Source organism: Homo sapiens, chromosome 4 (assembly GCF_000001405.40).
Source record: "Homo sapiens chromosome 4, GRCh38.p14 Primary Assembly".
NCBI classification, from domain to species: domain Eukaryota; kingdom Metazoa; phylum Chordata; class Mammalia; order Primates; family Hominidae; genus Homo; species Homo sapiens.
The window spans coordinates 153,120,507-153,140,908 of record NC_000004.12 but is presented as its reverse complement, the minus strand read 5'-3'; the positions used below and the strand labels follow the sequence as shown (position 1 = coordinate 153,140,908).

The 20,402-nt window shown below is 45.3% G+C and overlaps 1 annotated feature.

The window, feature by feature from the left end:
• Window positions 3,901–4,402: an enhancer, noted in NCBI's record as "H3K4me1 hESC enhancer chr4:154057659-154058160 (GRCh37/hg19 assembly coordinates)". NCBI's record gives its function as "activates a minimal SCP1, AML or CMV promoter by ChIP-STARR-seq in primed H9 embryonic stem cells {active_cell/tissue: H9 hESC(primed)}" and the evidence as "EXISTENCE:reporter gene assay evidence [ECO:0000049][PMID:30033119]".

The following is a 20,402-nucleotide window of genomic DNA, read 5'->3' as shown; positions in this document are numbered from 1 at the left end:
TGGTCCCAGCTACTCAGGAGGCTGAGCTGGGAGGATCATCTGAGCCTGGAGGCAGAGGTTGCAGTGAGCCGAGATTGCACCACTGTGCTCCAGCCTGGGTGACCCTATCTCAAAGAAAAGAAAAGAAAAGAAAAAGAACGTCAGGGAAGTGGGGAAGAGACAAGAGACAAGGAGTGTGGCAAAGGACCAGAAGCAAAAACCCAACTTTTTGTTCCCTTCATTTTGCCCAAAGTAGCCACAGCTTTAATGGGGAGTGCAGGCAGCAGCGGCCTGGTAAGGGCTGCCGCATCCCGGGGGACTGAGGTCACAGTCTCACTGTTGCTCAGAACTCCATGGTAGCTTCTTTCTGCTGAGCAGGGCCTTCCCCTGAATTCCTGTTAAACCTCAATCTTTCCTGGTCATATGAACATTCATTATGTGGTTTTATGACATTTTGTCATCCTCTATTCCCTGTCTCCAACAACCCCAACAAAAACATGTCTTTCTGGAGATGGATGGTGATGATGGTTGCACAACAATGTGAACGTATTTAGTGCCATGCAACCGTATGCTTAAGAATGGTGAAGATGGTAAGTTTTATGTATATTTTACCACCATTAAAAACTGTGATAAAAACGTGCTTATCCAAACTTTTCACTGACTTATACTTAGGTACTGTGACTTTATGGCCACACTGAAACATTCTAGAGGCTTGTACCAAATGTTCCCCACCCATTCCATCCCCCACTTCAGCCTCATTCACACTTCTACAAGCTGAGGCCAGTCTGGACTGGACAAGAGGGGTCAGGTGGGTGGGCATGGGGGGAGGGGGCCTGTATTAGTCAGGGTTCTCTAGAGGGACAGAATTAATAGGATAGATGTATATATAAAAGGGAGTTTATTAAGGAGTATTGACTCACACAATCACAAGGTCCCACAATAGGCCATCTGCAAGCTGAGGAGCAAGGAAGCCAGTCTGAGTCCCAAAACCTCAAAAGTAGGAAGGCTGACAGTGCAGCCTTCAGTCTGTGGCCAAAGGCCCAATAGCCCCTGGCAAACCACTGGTGTAAGTTCAAGAGTCCAAAAGAACTTGGAGCCTGATGTTCGAGGGCAGGAAGCATCCAGCACGGGAGAAATATGAAGTCTGGAAGACTCAGCCTGTCTATCCCTTCCATGTTTTTCTCCCTGCTTTTATCCTAGACACGCTGACGGCTGATTAGATGGAGCCCATCCACATTGAGGGTGGGTCTGCCTCTCCCAGTCCACTGACTCTAATGTTAATCTCCTTTAGCAACACCCTCACAGACACACCCAGGATCAATACTTTGCATCCTTCAATCCGATCATGTTGACACTCAATATTAACCATCACAAGGTATTTGCCGTCAAAACAGAGCAGTGGTCCCTGCTCCTCTTGGCCTGGTGAAGCTTTGGTGCCAGTGTCTGCAATTTTAGACACAATATAAATCAAGGCATGCATAGAATTCACTGGCCTGAGAAGGCACAGTGCATGCATATGTAGAGCTTTTGGCAGCACTGGCGTTTCTAAGGCAGGTACTGGGCATAAAATCTCCTTTCCTGCAGGTACTAGAAACAAAGTGTTTTCTCCAACACATGGTACAGGAGAGGCCCCGGGGTATGGAATCTTCTGGGGGTGGAGCCAGGGACCCCTTTCTGATGTTTTATAGTGTCTAGTTTCTTCCTTGATTTCAGCGAGCATAACAATGTTCTCTGTTCACATTGCCTATATTAGCATTGGCTGGTTTGTAAAATTCAGAAATTGACTCAAAATGGGCAGTGTATTAAAGTGCCACAGGTATGACTCTATGTTATATTACGAAGGAGTGGGGAGAAAATTAGTTATTAAAACATGATAATAACAGCTAACATTACTGAGTGTTATTCTGTACCAGGCACTGGGCTAATTGTTTTTCATGTTGTAGGTTACGTAATCATCCCAGCCCTATGTGGCAGGCTGGTGGCACAGATGAGGAAGTTGTGGCACAAAGCGATAATTTAGCTTACTCCAGATCCCAGGGGACAATAAATGGCAAAGCCATTGCAGGCGGCCTAATATCAGAGCCCCTCATGCTTTCTGTTATATAAAAGCACAGTGGAACCTGCTGTATATGAGGTTATTGATGCATCCTTTTTAAAAAAACAGAAACATTAAGTACTGAAGACAATCGTACCATAAATCTTTCCATTTTGTTTATTCAGATTTTCATTTATCAGATTTTATTTTTATTTTATCCAATTTTAAGTGCAACACACTTTCATATAGTTCACTCAAGATATTTTGAGGCAAATTTAACATTGCATTGTCAAAGCCATGATCACAATTCAGTAATTGTTATGCCCTGCAGCGATTAAGACAGAAATGAACATTTCTACTACCAATGGCTTTTGTTTAAAAGAAGAAAAAGGGCACTTAACTCTCTAAGGCATAGAAGGCTTCTGTCATTTTAGATAAGCCGCCAGCCACCAACCAGAACCCACAGGCCAGGGGTGGGTGTCCCCATTCAGATAAGGACTGTGTATGACCAAGGCAGGAAATAAAATAAAACCCAAACAGCAGTTGTGAGGAGGATGAAGATGCTGATGCCAATGAGGTCCTTGGGTGCTTTCTCCTTTTCAACCAATGCCAGCCTGAGCTGTCTCCCAGGAATGCCAGACCCCCTGATGTGTGTGGTCAGTGATTCTAGGCTCACACTGGATCGGGGTTGTTCAGGGCTGGTGGAATCCAGTGCCCGACCCCTGGAACCTGAGAAGCAGATTTCTCCCTCGGGAGCCTCTTGGGCTGCTTCAGCTTGAGAAACAGCTGCTAATTCTGGTAATTTCTGGCCTCGCTCTCCTTTTTTGGAGTGACAGGGTCTTGCTCTGTCACCCAGGCTGGAGTACAGTGGCAGAATCATAGCTCACTGCAGCCTTGAACTCCTGTGCTCAAGGGATCCTCCTTCCTTGGCCTCCCAAGTAGCTGGGAATACAAGTCCCCACCACCATGCCCATTTTTTTTTTCAGTTTTGCAGAGATGGGGTCTTGCTGTGTTGCCCAGGCGGGGCTCCAGTTCGGGCCTCAAGTGATCCTCCCACCTCTGCCAGTTAAAATGCTGGGATTACAGGTGTGAGCCACTGTACCCAGCCATGCTTTTATTTTTCATCCTCCCACACAGCATCCTCTGCCCTTTCTCCTACAGTGCTCCTTCTCAGTAACTCAGACTGAAGGATCCTTGGTGTTAAACACCTGCCATGCATCTATCGCTGCCACTGAATAATAATAATAATAATAATAATAATAATAATAATAATAAAAACCCACCTCTTTTAGAAAGCGCAATAAAGTAATGGGGGGATCCATCCTCTTGAGACCTTCCCTTCCCTCTTTCTCATATTGAAACATTAAAAAAAAATAGAGAGCTCCCCTAAGACATATTAAATACAATTTAATTTGGAAAGATTCCATTGATCAGACGCACAGCAATTCTTTCACTGTAATTTGGCAAGTTCGATGCCAAGTTAACACCGCCCTCCGTCTAGCAGTCTCCTGAAGATTGTGAGTCATCTGCAATTCTGCATCCTCGGCCTGGGGGAGGAGTGAGAAGCATGCCAGGAGAGGCAGTACTTGGAGAGTGTGACTCCTGAAACTTCCAGACCTTCATTTATGGTTTTCAGATATGGTCCAACTCAATAGAGAGGGGCGTTACCTGCTTTTGTTATTCTGCAGTTCCTGACACTGCTCAGATGTAAGGTTATCTGTCCCACCATAGCTGACATGGGACCAGGCACTGGATGCAGAAGGAGTTGGGTTCCAGGGAACCGATTCCTCATGGTACTTTAATGGCCACCGCAGATGTATCTTCTGGCACCTGGCTGACAATCTCCCATGAGTAATCTAATGTCTCTCCCTTTCTTTCACAGCTCAGACTCTCCTATTCTGTCTGCATGAAAAATGCAAGTGGGTCATTTTCTCCAAAACGCAACTTTACTTCCACCTCTGTTAAAATCCCCATGCTCCTCCCAGCCAGGTGTAGCCAGCAGGGCCTGTGGACTTTTCAGGGGAATGACATCAGCTAGTCAGCGCCCACCGTGAAGTGCCAGAGTATTCTCAGCTGCAGCTCTTCACGCGTAGGGCCATTTCCCCAGTGCCTCTCTATCAGCAAAGATGCTGCCCTGCCTGCAGAAAGTCTCATTACAATTATGGAAACACTCACTTGGCATCTCCCTTCTGGAGTATCTGCTTCGAAACCATTCTATCTGGGATTTACACCGCAATCATTGTCCTAGTCAGCTTTTTCTACTTTTCACTTTTGAAAATCATAATGAGGGTGACACATGTGAAATCCCACAGTATTTTCCAACTAGTACATATGGCGAGGGAAAGAGCATGAAAACCCTCACAAGTGTCTACCACAGGGCCAGGAGCTTTGCTTTATCAATCATGTGAAAGCACATCAAGAAAATAGCTGTGTGTCTATGTATGCAAGTATATATCCATGTACTTACACATAAAACAAAATTATTATTAAAAAGTAACTACAGGCTGGGCGTGGTGGCCCACGCCTGTAATCCCCGCACTTTGGGAGGCCGAGGTGGGCGGATCACAAGGTCAGGAGATCGAGACCACCCTGGCTAACATGGTGAAACCCTATCTCTACTAAAAATACAAAAATTAGCCAGGCATGGTGGCACGCGCCTGTAGTCCCAGCTACTCGGGAGGCTGAGGCAGGAGAATTGCTTGAACCCGGGAGGCTGAGGTTGCAGGGAGCCGAGATTGTGCCATTGCACTCCAGCCTGAGTGACAGAGTGAGACTCCATCTCAAAAAAAAAAAAAAAAAGTAACTACAATAAAATACATTTTGACAAGGAAAAAAATCACCCACTATTCTTTCATTGATGCAACAATGATTTTCCTTCCTTCCTTCCTTCCTTCCTTCCTTCCTTTCTCTCTCTCTCTTTCTTTCTTTCTTTCTTCCTTCCTTTCTTTCCTTTTTTGAGACAGGGTCTTACTCTGTTGCCCAGGCTGGAGTGCAGTGGCACGATTATAGCTTACAGCAGCCTAAGACTCCTGGGCTGAAGTGACCCTCTTGCCTCAGCCTCCTGAGTACCCAGGACTACAGAAGCATGCCAGTACACCCAACTAATTTTTAAATTTTTTGTAGAGATGGGGTCTCACCATGTTGTCCAGGCTGGTCTTGAACTCCTGGGCTTAAGCAATCCTCCCGCCTGAGCCTCCCAAAGTGCTGGGATTACAGGATTAAGTAAAAATTATATTCATAATGGTGTATTCCATCCCCACCTTTGCCAAATACATACGTTTTGTATGTTGGATCACAGAACACATGCAGTTTTATTTTCTGATATAGGAATTACAGTTGACAGTTGTGCTTTTCTTTGCATCTGCCCTCACAGCATATCATATAATCTGTATTTCTATTCTAGCCATGATTTCCCTGCACCACAATTAATATTTGTGCACCAATCTCCCCTTTTCCTGGAGGAGAGAGAAAGGGTCATATTTATCTTTATGTTCCTAGTGTGTGGCATAGTGTCTGCACACAGTAGGTCTGTGTTCTTAGTGTGCGGCACAGTGTCTGGTACACAGTAGGCACTTGATAAGTGCCTGTTGAATGAGTGATTACAAGTACAGTGTAATCAGACAAGATGAGTCTAGCCTGGAATTTTTGCTGTTCAAGGGGCTGTTTGTACAGAGTCCAGAGTCCATGGGAGCCTTGACATTTAGCACATGGGATTAGAGGGGAGAGCCTGACATTTGCAAGAAGCATTCCTGTAGTAACTTCTCAGTAAGAAAGAATCTAGCAGCAAGACGCTGGGTAGACACGCAAAGGCACGGGGCGAAAAGAGCCACAGCTTGACGTGGAGTGGCTCAGGCCTTGGGTGGACCTGCTGAGTCACAGGCCTTGAGGATTGCTGATTGCCTAATGAGATTTCAAAGTACCCAGAGCTCCCATAGCGTTCAGATCTAGTTTGCCAGAGTAATAAAGAACATACACTTTGGCCAGGGGTGGTGGCTCACGCCTGTAATCCCAACACTTTGGGAGGCCAAGGTGGGTGGATCACCTGACGTCAGGAGTTCGAGACCAGCCTGACCAATATGGTGAAACCCCGTCTCTACTAAAATTACAAAAATTAGCCGGGCATGGTGGCATGCATCTGTAGTCCCAGCTACTCAGGAAGCTGAGGCAGGAGAATCGCTGAAATCCGGGAGGCGGAGGTTGCAGTGAGCTGAGATTGTGCCACTCCAGCCTGGGCGACAGAGCGAGACTCTGTCTCAAAAAAAAAAGAACATACTCTTTTTGAGGTAACTAATTATCCTTGATATGATTAATAACCCCGGCCTGAATCTGCATGATTCAAATAGATCAGGTTCAAAGCAAATAGCAAAATGAAAGGCAAATTGAATTTTCATTGTCAAGGAAGTGGTCTGAGAAGGATTCTGGAAAGGCAGCCGTGGTGACAGCATAGTCCTTTAATCACACCAATTCCCCCATAAAACCAGAAGAGCAACCAAGTAGCAAAACCAAAAACCCACAGACCTTTATAATGAAACTGGAAGTTAGGCTGTCCCCACAACTCCCAAACTATAAGCAACAAAGAGCAAACCACCAACACCTACAAGGCCTGCATGGTAATCAGTATCGGTGCAGAAGAAAGGTGAGGGAGGCAGTGGGGCATCAGCACAGGAGACCCCCGAGGCAGTCATCAGGTGTTCCCTGGAAAGCAAGATGGAGCCATTTGAGAAGAGCAGCTGAAACCAGAAGGGCCTCGCCCAGGCTCATGGTGGGTGCACGTGAGAAGTCCCTGGTAGCTCAGAGGAGGCCAGAGCTGCCTAACCCCGATGAGCTCTCTAACCAGTCCAGCCAGGGCACCCTTTGGGCACAGAACTCCACACTGAGGACAAATTGTGGGAGCACAGTCAAAACAGATCAGGATGTGGACTGCTCAGACAGGAAAAGACAAGGTCCAGATAAAAGTGGTAGAGGGGACCAGCGTCAGGAAATCTCAGAAAGCAAGTTACACACACACACACACACACACACACACACACACACACACACACTCACACATTGAAAAACCAGAGGGTGCTCTGTAAAGACAGAAAATTCACGCTGCCTCCTTCTAAACTTAAGGGCAATTGATTTTGCTTATAAATGAATAATAGGAAAATAAAACCAAATTCCATAGAAAAGTCTTAAAAAAAAGAATAAACGCAGAATAACAATACTATAGACATTGTAAGCACACCAGGAAAAAAAAGTCCACAGAAAAGATCGCAACTATAACTTTCTCTTTGAAAATGAGCTAAGAGACATTAAGAAAATGATATGACTGGACAGACATTGCTCCAAAGAAAACATACAAATGGCCAATAAGCACATAAAAATATATTCACCATCATTAGCCACCAGGGAAATGCATGTCAAAACCACAATGAAAAACCACTTGAGTAGGCCAGGCGCTGTGGCTCATGCCTGTAATCCCAGCACATTGGGAGGCCGAGGCGGGTGGATCATGAGGTCAGGAGATTGAGACCATCTTGGTCAACATGGTGAAACCCCATCTCTACTAAAAATACAAAAATTAGCAAGATGTGGTGGTGCATGCCTGTAGTCCCAGCTACTCAGGAGGCTGAGGCAGGAGAATCGCTTGAACGCAGGAGGTGGAGGCTGTAGTGAGCCGAGATCGTGCCACTGCACTGCACTCCAGCCTGGGTGACAGAGCGAGACTCTGTCTCAAAAAAAACAAAACAAAACAAAAAAAACAAAAAAAAACCCAATTGAACACTCAGTAGAATGGCTATAAAAGACAGGTAATAACAAGTGTTCACAAGAATGTGGAGAAATAGAAACTTTCATACACTGCTGGTGGGAATTTAAAATGGTTCAGAAACTCTGGAAAACAGCTTGGCAGTGCCCCACAAGGTTAAACATAGAGGACCATATGACCCAGCATTTCTACTCCTAGTTTTATACCCAAGAGAACTGAAAACATGTCTACACAGAAACTTGCGCATGAGGCTGGGCACGGTGGCTCATGCCTGTAACCCCAGCACTTCAGGAGGCTGAGGCAGGAGGATCGCTTGAGCCCAGGAGTTTGAGACCAGCCTGGGCAACATGACAAGAACCCATCCCTAAAAAAATTCAAAAAAATTAGCCGGCTTGGTGGTGTGCACCTGTAGTCCCAACTACTTGGGAGGCTGAGGTGGGAGGATTGCTTGAGCCTGGGAGGTGGAGGTTGCAGTAAGCCATGACTGTGCCACTGCACTCCAGCCTGGGCAACAGAGGAAGGCTCTGTCTCAAAAAGAAACAAACAAAAAACATGTACATGAATATTGATAGCAGTGTCATTAATAAAAGCTGAAAAGTGGAAATAATCCTAATGTATATCAACGAATGAATGGGTAGACAAATATTATGTCTATACATGGAATGTTATTTAGCCATAAAAGGTAATAAAGTATTGTTACATGCCATAACATGGATGAACCTTGAAAACATTGTGCTAAAAAGCCAGACACAAAAGACCACATATTGTATGGTTTTATGTATATGAAATGTCTGAATAGACAAATCTATAAAGACAGAAAGTGGATTAGTGGTTGCCTTGAGAGCGGGGAAAGACATAGGTAGTGACTGCTAATTTCTAATTTTTTCTGAGTTCTATCACCGCAGTTTTGAATTTGTCTAATTCTGATTTGTGTTATTTTGTCTTTTGTAATTGTCTTCCCTTAAATAAGAGCTTTTTGATAAAAAAAAATTTACATAGCATACAGTTCACCTACTTAAAGTGTATAATTCAATGGTTTGTTGTGTATTCATAGAGCTATGTCAAAAGGACTCAGAATCCAGTATGAAGAGGTGCCATTGGTCAAATAAGGGACAATTTGAGTGTCAAGAAGCATAATGAATCCATTGATTGAAATCATGAAATATTTTTTAAATTCATGAGTTTACAAGGATATAAATAAATCTCATTGGTCACCTTTAGAGGGCGATGAGGAACCGTTATCATTAACTATTATGTATAACAAACTCCCCCCAAGACGAAGCAGTGTAAACACCCGTTCTATCATGCATATGGATTCTGTATTTCAGGACTTCAGATAGGGCCTGGTGGACCTGGCTCTGTGACATCTGGGACATCAGCTGGAAAGACGAAATGGCTGGGACTGGAGTCATCTGGAGGCCACTTCACTTGCACATTTGGGTCTGGGTTGGGATGACGGAAGCCTGTGCTCAGCTGGGCTGCTATCCAGAGTGCCCATATGCAGCCTTTCTGAGGCAGTGTTCTCAGCGGAGCTGGATTTCTCACAGGGCAGCCACGGGCTCCATGAGCATGTGTCCGAGGAAACAAGGTAGAAGCTGTGTGGCCTTTTATGATGTAGGCATGGAAGTCACAAATTGTCTTTCTTTTTTTTAAACAGAGTCTTGCTCTGTCACCCAGGCTGGAGTGCAGTGGCGCAATCTTGGCTCACTACAATCTCTGCCTCCTGGGTTCAAGCAATTCTCCTGCCTCAGCCTCCTGAGTAGTTGGGATTACAGGTGTCCACCACCACGCCTGGCTAATTTTTGCATTTTTAGTAAAGACAGGGTTTCACCATGTTGGCCAGGCTGGTCTCAAACTCCTGACCTCAGGCGATCTGCCTGCCTCAGCCTCCCAAAGTGCTGGGATTACAGGCAGGAGCCACTGCACCCGGCACAAATTGTCATTTTTAATGCTCTCCTATGCCCCTCCAGATTCAACAAGCGGGATGTAGATCCCATCTCTTGAAGGCAGAAGCGCTGCAGAATTTGCAGTCAAGTTTTACAACCACCACGGGAACACATTCACTTTCTTGAAAACTGGGTAATTAAAGCAAAGAAAATCAAGTTTTTTTTCCTATGTGAACTGTACCGCGGAGAAATCAAATACAGCATGAAGGGCAGAAATGCTTACTAAAAGTATTTTAACTAAAGGATGCAAAATAAATGGTGACATTAGAATATCGTCATTTTGCAGACCACATAAATCTAGCCACTGAGCTAATGAAAGGACACAGCACTACCTAGAATCTTGCCAAAGAGACAACACGAGTCTAGGGATAGAAGAGGAGTCTGACGCAGCCTCTGGCCCCAGCTTCCAAGCTGGCAGGAAAGACAGACAGAGGAACATGTTGAATTGCACCATGAGCCTGCAGTCACCTCAGAGCCAGACTCTGAGATGTTCTACACATCAAATACCCCAGCTTCTTCAGCAGGCAAACTGCAAGGAATGGAGAGAAGCCTATACATTATAATAAACTTAAAAGACATAAGGTAGAAAAATTGGGGGAGGTACAGACTAAACTAAAGTGTCTAGTCAGGCACATTTGGGTCCTAAAACCAAAAAGAAACAGGAAAGTCACTACAGTAAAAGGACAGTGGTTCCTTTTTGGGGAAGGGAGGGAGTTGAGGCTGGAACAGCACAATGGAGCGTTCTGGGGTGACTGGTTCTTTTGGTTACATGGGCGTTCACCTTATTATGACTCATTAAGTTCTACTTTTATTTTGGAAGGTTTCTATATGTTTTATTTTACAATAAAAAGTAAAAGAGGAGCAGAGAAATACAGAAAGAAAGTGATTTTGATGGTGGTGGTGATTGAGGCAGTGGTGGTGATGGCAGTGGTGATGCTATTGGTGGTGGGGGTGGTGGTGGTAGTGATGCTGGTGGTGGTGGTGGGGTGGTAATGGTGGTGGTAGTGATATGGTAGTGGTAGTGGTGGTGGTGATGGTGGTGATGGTAGTGGTGGTGGTGGTGGTGGTAGTGATAGTGATATGGTAGTGGTAGTGGTGGTGGTGATGGTGGTGATGGTAGTGGTGGTGGTGGTGGTGGTAGTGATAGTGATATGGTAGTGGTAGTGGTGGTGGTGATGGTGGTGATGGTAGTGGTGGTGGTGGTGGTGGTAGTGATAGTGATATGGTGGTGATGGTGGTGGTGGGGGTGGTGATGGTGGTAATGGTGATGGTGGTGGTGGTGATGGTGGTGGTGATGGTGTTGATGGTGGTGGTGGGGGTGGTGATGGTGGTGATGGTAGTGGTGGTGGTGGTAGTGATATGGTGGTGATGGTGGTGGTGATGGTGGTGATGGTGGTGGTGGGGGTGGTGATGGTGGTAATGGTGATGGTGGTGTTGGTGATGGTGGTGATGGTAGTGATGGTGGTGGTGATGGTGTTGATGGTGGTGGGGGGGTGGTGATGTTGGTGATGGTGATGGTGGTGGTGAAGGTGGTGGTGATGGTGATGCTGGTGGTGGTAGTGGTGATGGTGGTGGTGGTGATGGTGGTGGTGGTGGTGGGGGTGGTGATGGTGGTAATGGTGATGGTGGTGGTGGTGGTGGTGATGGTGGTGATGGTGGTGGTGATGGTGGTGATGGTGGTGGTGGTGGTGATGGTGGTGATGCTGGTGGTGGTGGTGGTGATGGTGGTGGTGGTGGTGATGGTGGTGGTGGTGATGGTGGTAGTGGTATGGTGGTGGTGATGGTGGTGGTGGTAGTGGTTATGGTGGAGGTAGTGGTATGTTGGTGGTGGTGGTAATGGTGGTGGTGATGCTGATGGTGGTGATGGCAGTGGTGACAGTAGTGGTGGTGGGGGTAATGGTGGCAGTTGTGGTGATGGTGGTAGTGGTGGTGGTGATGGTGGTGGCTAACATTTATTGAACATTTATTAAATGCAAGGCACTGGCCCAGCACCTACCACAGGTTAGCTCATTTAATTCCCCCCACTATTATCCCCCTTTTTCATATAGTGAGACTGAGATTTACAAACTTTAAGTAATCTTCCCAAGGTCTTATGTTACTGAGTGATAGACCAGAAATTTGCTGATGATCCACAAACTGAACAGTCCCACAAGTGAGGTTAAGGGAATGGCAAGGCCATGGGGATTCTATTCCCCTCTTCTCGGCTGAGTGAAAAAAAAAAGTAAATACAGAGTATTTTGCTCTGTAATCTTCAGTCTGGAGAGACTGAAATAAATGTTTCACTTTTGATAAACAGGACTTTAGGGGAGTAGAGAATATTGCTCTAAGCACTTTGTGATAAATTATTGATTTTATTTGGGATTTACATGGAATAATTGATCTTCATGTAGTGATTTTAAAGATCCAGTTATCTTTACTGAAAACAAATGTCCTACACACCTTTGCTATTTATCTTGTTTCTACTCTTTTAAAAGGAAGGCTTTGTTTGTTTGTTTTTTAGGGATAGGGTCTTGCTCTGTTGTCCAAGCTGGGGTGCAGGGGCGCGATCACAGTGCCCTGCAGCCTGGAACTCCCAGGCTCAAGGGACTCTCCCACTTCAGCCTCCTGAGTAGCTGGGACTAGAGAAATGGCCGCCATGCCTGGCTAATTTTTGTATTTTTTGTACAGACAGGGTCTCTCTATGTTACCCAGGCTGGTCTGGAACTCTTGGGCTCAAGCGATCCTTCTGCCTCAGCCTCCCAAAGTGCTTGGATTACAGGTGAGAGCCATTGCGCCAGGCCAGGAAGCCGTTTAAATCATATAAATTCAAAAATAATTCAAATAGAGAAAGAAAATAAATCGTTAGATTTTTAAAATGAAATTTTGGCTATAAAAGAAATACCTTTTTAAGAAACACGATTAAAAGAATATATTCTCTGGTCTCTCCAAATCACACTGAAAATCCCAAAGCAAGCTGTTTAATCTTCTAACATAAAAGCAGGCCCTTTGAATGCAGGGAACATGTCATAATTTCTTTTGTGTTCTCTACCAAGAACATTCAAATTCAGGGCCCGCTTGATAACCAGACCAATGCTTTACAGAATTTGCAATTAGTGGATTGTCCAGAAGAGGGCGCGCGTTGCCCATGTTACTCAAAGGCGCCGCCAGACCCGGCCGAAGCTGAGTAGCTAAGAACAAAAGATGCACATTCCTCTCTGAGGACAGAACAAAAGGGTGGATTTTAAAAAGCAAAAGAAACGCAACATTTAACGCTGCCTCCCATAATCTCCACGAACACCCTACAACTCAGCCACAGCTGGTCACAGGCAGGCTGAATATTACATTGTAAAAAACAAACTGGAAAGCAGCTGTTTTTAAAACAGATATCGTTTGCTTGGTGTAATTCCATCCGGGTAATGCCTATTTATTCAACAGTCAATTCTGCCTGAGTTGTGTTTTCCCGTTATGAGATACAGGTGGGCATCGCTGAATCCAAAACCAGTACATAGTAGAGACAAAAGTATAGATGCTCCATTTTGTAAGATCGTGGTGGGACACTGCATTCCCCCAAATAATGCCTCGTATTCTCACCCCTCACTTTGTTTGCTCTCATTACCAGTGAAAAACGCATCTCATCCACATGAATAGCTCCACTCAAATGATAATGCTTTTTTTTTTTTTTTCTGAGACAGAGTCTTACTCTGTAGCCCAGGCTGGAGTACAGTGGCGCAATCTCGGCTGCACTGCAACCTCCGTCTCCCGGGTTCAGGCGATTCTCCTGCCTCAGCCTCGCGAGTGCTGAGATTACAAGCGCGCACCACCACGCCCAGCTAAGTTTTTGTATTTTTACTAGAGATGGGGTTGCTCCATGTTGGCCAGGATGGTCTCGAACTCCTGACCTCAAGTGATCTGCCTACCTCAGCCTCCCAAAGTGCTGGGATTACAGGCGTGAGCCATGGCGCCTGGCCTGATAAAGCTTTTTAAAACTTAGTTATAGCCACTTTCATGGTCAGCTTTTAAGAAAGCAGTAAATATTCCTCAGCAAAGGCAAAGATAGCAATATCTCAGAGCAGGCAACTCAAAGCAAACACACAAAAGGAAAACCCAGCCCCCTTGTTTACTTACGGGTCTTCAAGCTCCTAATATTGACATGAGTTTCTGAGGTCTCCTGTGCATTTTCTTTTCTACAGCAAACAACAGGGCTTTTAACCTATAAAGAGGTAGATCTGGCTGCCCCAGAAAGGTGGGTTAACTGTCCCCCAACAGACTAAAGGAGAGTGAACGGTGCTGAAGAGCAACAGGCAAGAAGTCTTAGGAAAATAAGCTCCTCTGCATGAGTTATAGTGAGGCATTAGCGAATTTGGGGCAAAGACCCAGAACGGGAAACAGCCATCAGATTCGTGTGTGAGAAGTATTCAGCCACAGCTTTTTCTTAGGGTCTGTTTGAAAGTATTACATTTAACTTCAGCATGCCTTTCCAAAAGGTATATTTAGAAGCAATTAGGTTAAAAGCTTTGAGCTCCTTGGAGTTCTATCTATACAGATATCTACTGGCCTAGGGGACCTTAAGGTATTGAATTAAATGAGTCTCCCCAGCCTTTTTGTTGAGACAGGGTCTAGCTCTGTCACCCAGGCTGGAGTGCAGTGATGCATGATCATGGTTTGCTGCAGCTTCGAATTTCTGGGCTCAAGTGATCCTCCTACTTCAGCCTCCCGAATAGCTGGGACTACAAATGCGAGACACCATGCCCAGCTAATTTTTAAATTTTTTGTAGATATGGGGGTTTTGCCATGTTGCTCAGACTGGTATAAAACTCCTGGGCTCCAGTGAACTTCCCACCTCGGCCTCCCAAAGCATTGGGATTATAAGTATGAGTCACCACTCCTGGCCAAGTCTCCTTTTAAGATGCAAGAGTCTCCATATATAAAGAAAGCAGCTAGACTTGGAGCACGCAAGCTTTAAGGCATTTAGAAAAGATCAGGTGCACCTCAGTATGAGGGCTACTAAGGAGTTGAGAGCTGTTGCTCTCAGCAGTCATTTTCCCTATGGGGCAGATTGCTCAGGTAGGAGCCCTCTGAAGGTGTGAGACAGGACTCAGGTGTGAGACAGGACTCAGGTGTATCTCTGCCTGCCCACACCCAGGAGGGTCTCCACGAGCAAAATCAGGGGACAGGCAAATGAGAGAGCCCTCCCCAGCATGCCTTCCCCACACCTGCTGCCTGGCTCGCTGAGCTGTCTTGACTGCCTACTTTTGGCTTAGGAAACCAGGCTGAGGCCTAGGCAGCCTACAGACCCTCTGCAGACCCTCTGCAGACCCAAGCCCTATTCAGCCCAAGCTCACCCTTCCCTCTGATCACATCTTCCCTTGGTGCCATTTTTAACTTCAACTCCAGTTACTTCCTGCTCGTTTTCAAGTGTGGGAGTTTTGATCCTGGGGCCTTAAGGATGGACCCTTAAGGGGGCTGAAATGCTCTAAAGTCATCTGCAAAATGTGTGGTTATAAATATGTTTCCTTTGTCCTGAGAGGTGACCCTTTGCTTTCACCAGATTCTCAAAGGAATTTACAGCCACCAAAAGGCCGTAGAAACCAATCCAGGGGGACTGTGAATGAACCGAGGTTGGAGACACTGCACTGTGTCAGCGTTAAGCCACAGCTGTCAAGTCGTGACAGGCAGAAGAGTCTAAGGAGCTCACTGGGCCAGGTACCATGGCTCACGCCTCTAATCCCAGCACTTTGGGAGGCTGAGGTGGGCAGATCACCTGAGGCCAGGAGTTCGAGACCAGCCTGGCCAGCATGGTAGAAATCCTGTCTCTACTAAACTACTAAAACTACAAAAATTAGTTGAGTGTGGTGGCGGGTGCCTGTAATCCCAGCTGCTTGGGAGGCTGAGGTGGGAGGATCGCTTGAGCCCAGGAGGTGGAGGCTGCAGTGAGTCAAGATCGCCTCACTGCACTCCAGCCTGGGTGACAGAGTAAGACTCCGTCTCAAGAAGAAGACGAAAAAAAGAGCTTGCCAGATCCTTCCCTAGCATTTAGATGACATATAGGGACCTTGGAGATCACCTAATCCAAACCCTTTATTGTATAAATAAGGAAACTGAGTCTCAAAGTCACACAGGGCAGGTGTCAGGACCAGCATCTGAATCTCCTCTCAACCCTGCTTCTTGTAATATCACTCATGAGGGTCAAGTTCTTCTAGTTCTGATCCTGGAAATTGTGGGAAGATGTTGCAGGAGAGAGACGAGTTGCATATCTATAGAGTTGTTGTAGAGTAGACTTTATAGAGTTCATGTAAGCAGCATATCATTAGGAGTGTGGAGTCTGGAACCTGAGTTTGCATGTTGACTCTGCCTCTTACTACGTGACCTTAGGGAAGCCATCTCGCCCTATGCACCCAGTTTCATTAGTGTAGAGAGGGAGTGAGAGTAGCAGGCACCCTGCAAGACTGCTGTGAGGATTACGTGTGTGCACTCACAGTCACTCAATACATACAGAGCTGAGAATAAGGTCTGACATATATTAAGCACTCATCCTTCTCCTCGTCAGCCTCATCTATTGGTATATTTCAACAAGCATTTATCAAGCACTTGCTGTATTCAAAGCATTGTGCCTAACACCAAGGATAGAAAGATAAAAGATTCAGTTTAGTCCCTCCTGTCAGGAGCAGGCGGTGGGGAGCCACAGTTAATCAAAATATATTGTGACATGAGCTTCGAGAGTGGTCAGCCCCATGCCCTTGGTAACTGGAGAGGCACTGATTAACATCCAGTCTCTTAAATTTTCCCTGAGACTCAAAATGTAAACCTACGCAGATAAAACATAGTATGCTCTCTGGACCTACCTACCAAGGCACTCTGGAGCGACTGGAGGGTATCTGATGTACCAGCACACAGACATTAGTTATCTGGCAACCCCAAGGACAGGGCTGACAGGTATTGCCAAGTGACAGATTGGGATTGGAGATAAGAGGGAAGTTGGGGCTAAAGGTATGGGGCTGGGAAGTGGCTGCCGGAAGACTAAATACAGCAAAAGTGGCCAGGAGAGCCTGGGATCTAATTATGCCCAGAGTTTGTGGGCCCACAGGAGCAAAGACACAGAGAAGCAGAGATGGATTAAGACATGAGTTGCCTGGGCTCATTTACTCCATACTGGCTGTGTGTTCTGTGTCCCTTTTTGCAAGCATGAGGGTAGGGCCCCAAGCTGACCAACTCTAAGGGTTAAATGCAAAGCTCTCTGTATTAGTCAAGGGTCTCCAGAGAAACAGAACCAGTCGAATGCATACATAGATATATAAAGAGAGATTCATTTTAAGGAATTGGTGCATGCTGTTGTGGGGGCTGGCAAGCCTGAAATTTGTAGGGCAGGCCAGCAGACCAGAAGCTCAGACAGGACCTGATGTTGCAGTCCTGAGTCCAGAGGCTGGAAAGTCGGGCAGAATTTCCATGTTACCATATTAGGAACAATGCCTTCCTCATTAGGGGAGCCTGTCTTTAACATGTTCAATGTGTAATGGGTGACACCCCTATGTCCATTACATCCACCTTATGGTATGGAGTGATGTGCTTTACTCAAAGTCTGCTGGTTTAAGTGTTAATCACATCTAAACACTACCTTCACAGCAACAGTGAGACTGGTGTTTGACCAAACAACTGGGCTGGCCTAGCCAAGTTGACACATAAAATTCACCATCTGACTCCATCATGGACCAAAGACTGTGACTCTGTAAGGGCGCATTAAGTCAGGAGGGAAGGGAGAGGCTTTTACATTTAAAACCGTAGCATATCTGAACCTTTTCTTCCGAACTCTCGGTTCACCTGTCACCTCCCCTAGAAGGTGCCCTCTGATCACTGCTGTGAGTGACACGCCCCTCTTCTGTGAACCTGTCTGCCCACTGCCTGCCTCTGTGACCCTGTTAGTACTGTGTTGTAACTGTGTGCTCATTCTTCCAACTCTGTCTTTTATCCTTGCAATCCGGGCCTAGCTTTCATTGTACCTACTGTGCACAGTTAGTACTTAGGATATGTGTATTTGGTGATGAAATTTCTGCTTTTGGAATTCCACCTGAGCCTCTACGCCAATAAAAAAAGGAATTCAAGTTGCCTGACAAACCTTGATGCCAAGAGAGCCCAGCATCTGAGATGGCAGATGGCCTGTATATTTGTGTTGACATTGAACACATGGCCCAGAAATGAGTACTATTCTTCTACGTAATGTGCTCATAGAAACCTGTATTTTTCTCACTCACCATCACATAGCAGGCATGAGTCATTTTCTCAGGAGCGGGGGTTCAAATTAAGGATCTCGATAAGGAACATTCTAGACCCAGTCCTCTTGGCCTATTTTGCCTTTCTTCCCCCACCGATAAGTATTGATTAGGGGCTGGCCATGTGCTAGGGTCATGGTCCCAGCACTCATGGAATTCATGGCCTAGGGCTCAAGATTTCACTTATATCTTGTTTTAAAAAGGCCAGATTCATTTGATATTTTGCAATAAGGAAAGGTAGTAGATCTTAGGTTTAAAATGACCTTATTTTTAAATCTGACAGCAAGTCAAAGCTTTGGGCTCTGTGAGGCTCTGGGTCACTTCAAATTTTGCTCCATTTTTTTTTCTCTAGCAGAATATGATATATAAGAGTACCCCACATAAGGCTGTAAGTTCTGACCCTGTAACTACTGCCAACTTAGAAAAACCAAAGGCAGCTGAAAAAAAAAAACGTTCTTTACTCCCTCTTTCTCTGGCCCAAACTTCAAAACTGAACTTGGAAAACCAGAGGGGAAATAAAGGCTTCCTCTGTAATTATCACAAAATTAGCATACTGTATAATTTTTAAATTTATTTAATTTAATTTTGTGAGACTGGATCTTACTCTGTTGCCCAGGCTGGAGTACACTGGGGCAACTGTGGCTCACTGCAGCCTCAGCCTCCCAAAGTGTTGGGATTACAAGTGTGAACCACCGTGCCCAGGCTTATTTTTTCTTAGAGGCAGGATCTCTCTCTGTTGCCCAAGCTGGAATGCAGTGGTGCAATCATAGGTCACTGCAGCCTCAAACTCCTGGGCTCAAGAGATCCTCTCACCTCAAGCCTCTTGGGTAACTGTGACTACAGGTGTGTGCCACCATGCCCAGCTAATTTTTATTTTTATTTTTTGTAGAAATGGGGTCCTCTATGTTGCCCAGGCTTGTCTTGAACTCCTGGGCTTAAGTGATCCTACCACCTCAGCCTTCTGAGTAGCTGGGACTATAGACATAAGCCACTGCATCTGGCTAATGATTTTTATTTAGAGATGGGGTCTCGCTAGGTTGCCCAGGCTTGGTCTCCAACTCCTGGCCTCCAGTGACCCACCTGCCTCAGCTTCCAAAAGTGCTGGGATTACAGGCATGAACCACCACACCTAGCCAGCATATTGTGTTATTTTAGATTACAAACTAGAAAAGAAATTTTTCCAGAGTGATGCTTATAAAACCGAATACACTTCAAGGTACAAAAAGTCAGCCAGTAGCATTTTGTATTAATAAGCCCATCTGTGCAAAGATCCCTCTGAGGCAGCCCTCTTCTCCTGGCCGGGTGCCAAAGAAGCGTTGGAGGTGAGTGTTTCTTGACATTGGCTTTATTCCACATGGTGAAATGAAGACATTAACCAGGAGGTTTCCACCTCCATTCTGCTGTTTTCATTCCTATGTATGGCTCAGGAAAACACAGCCACATGCTGCATACAATATACACTATAAAGGAAAGAAACTAGATGACAGATTTTCTTAAGTAAGGTACAATATGAAAATATCTAGATATTTCAAGAGCATTCTAGCTGTAGGTGTTAGATTTATCTGAACTTTTTTTTTTTTTTTTTTTTTTTTTTTTTTTTTTTTTTTGAGACAGAGTCTCGCTCTGTCGCCCAGGCTGGAGTGCAGTGGCGCGATCTCGGCCCACGCAAGCTCCGCCTCCCAGGTTCACGCCATTCTCCTGCCTCAGCCTCCCAAGTAGCTGGGACAACAGGAGCCCGCCACCACGCCCTGCTAATTTTTTTTGTATTTTTAGTAGAGACGGGGTTTCACCGTGTTAGCCAGGATGGTCTTGATCTCCTGACCTCGTGATCCGCCCGCCTCGACCTCCCAAAGTGCTGGGATTACAGGCGTGAGCCACCGCGCTCGGCCTATCTGAACTTTTAAGTCAACAGAATTTGGAAAGCAGTTTTGACAACACGGCAGACTGAGCTAAGATGACCACTTCCCAGTGGTGTGCTGGTAAATGTTTAACAACCAGCTCTTCCAAAATAATGCCATATATTTGTGTGTGTGTGTGTGTGTGTGTGTGTATCATACATTTTATTGATATAAAGGATGTATATAACATACAATTTACAAATAATAATTAAATACATAATCTTTTTTATTGTAAATTCTGTATAGCCAATTGATTCTCACAGAATATTTTTGTTGAGTTTTGCAGAACATTTACTGTAGCCAACCTATGGTTGCAATTTAACCATAATTTGACAAATAGAGCTGCATCGTAATCTGTTAACTCTCTTCCCAATAAGTTTATTGTTATAAAATCTGATATGTGATCTACTGTTAAACTATTTCTTATGCTTATGTAAATTATATTCATTAAGCTGAAACCTCTTTAAGCTTCAGCACTAGATATGACCTACTTTTAACTTTAATCTGAATTATTAACATTTTCTCATCACTTTCTTAATTCTAGACCAGGGT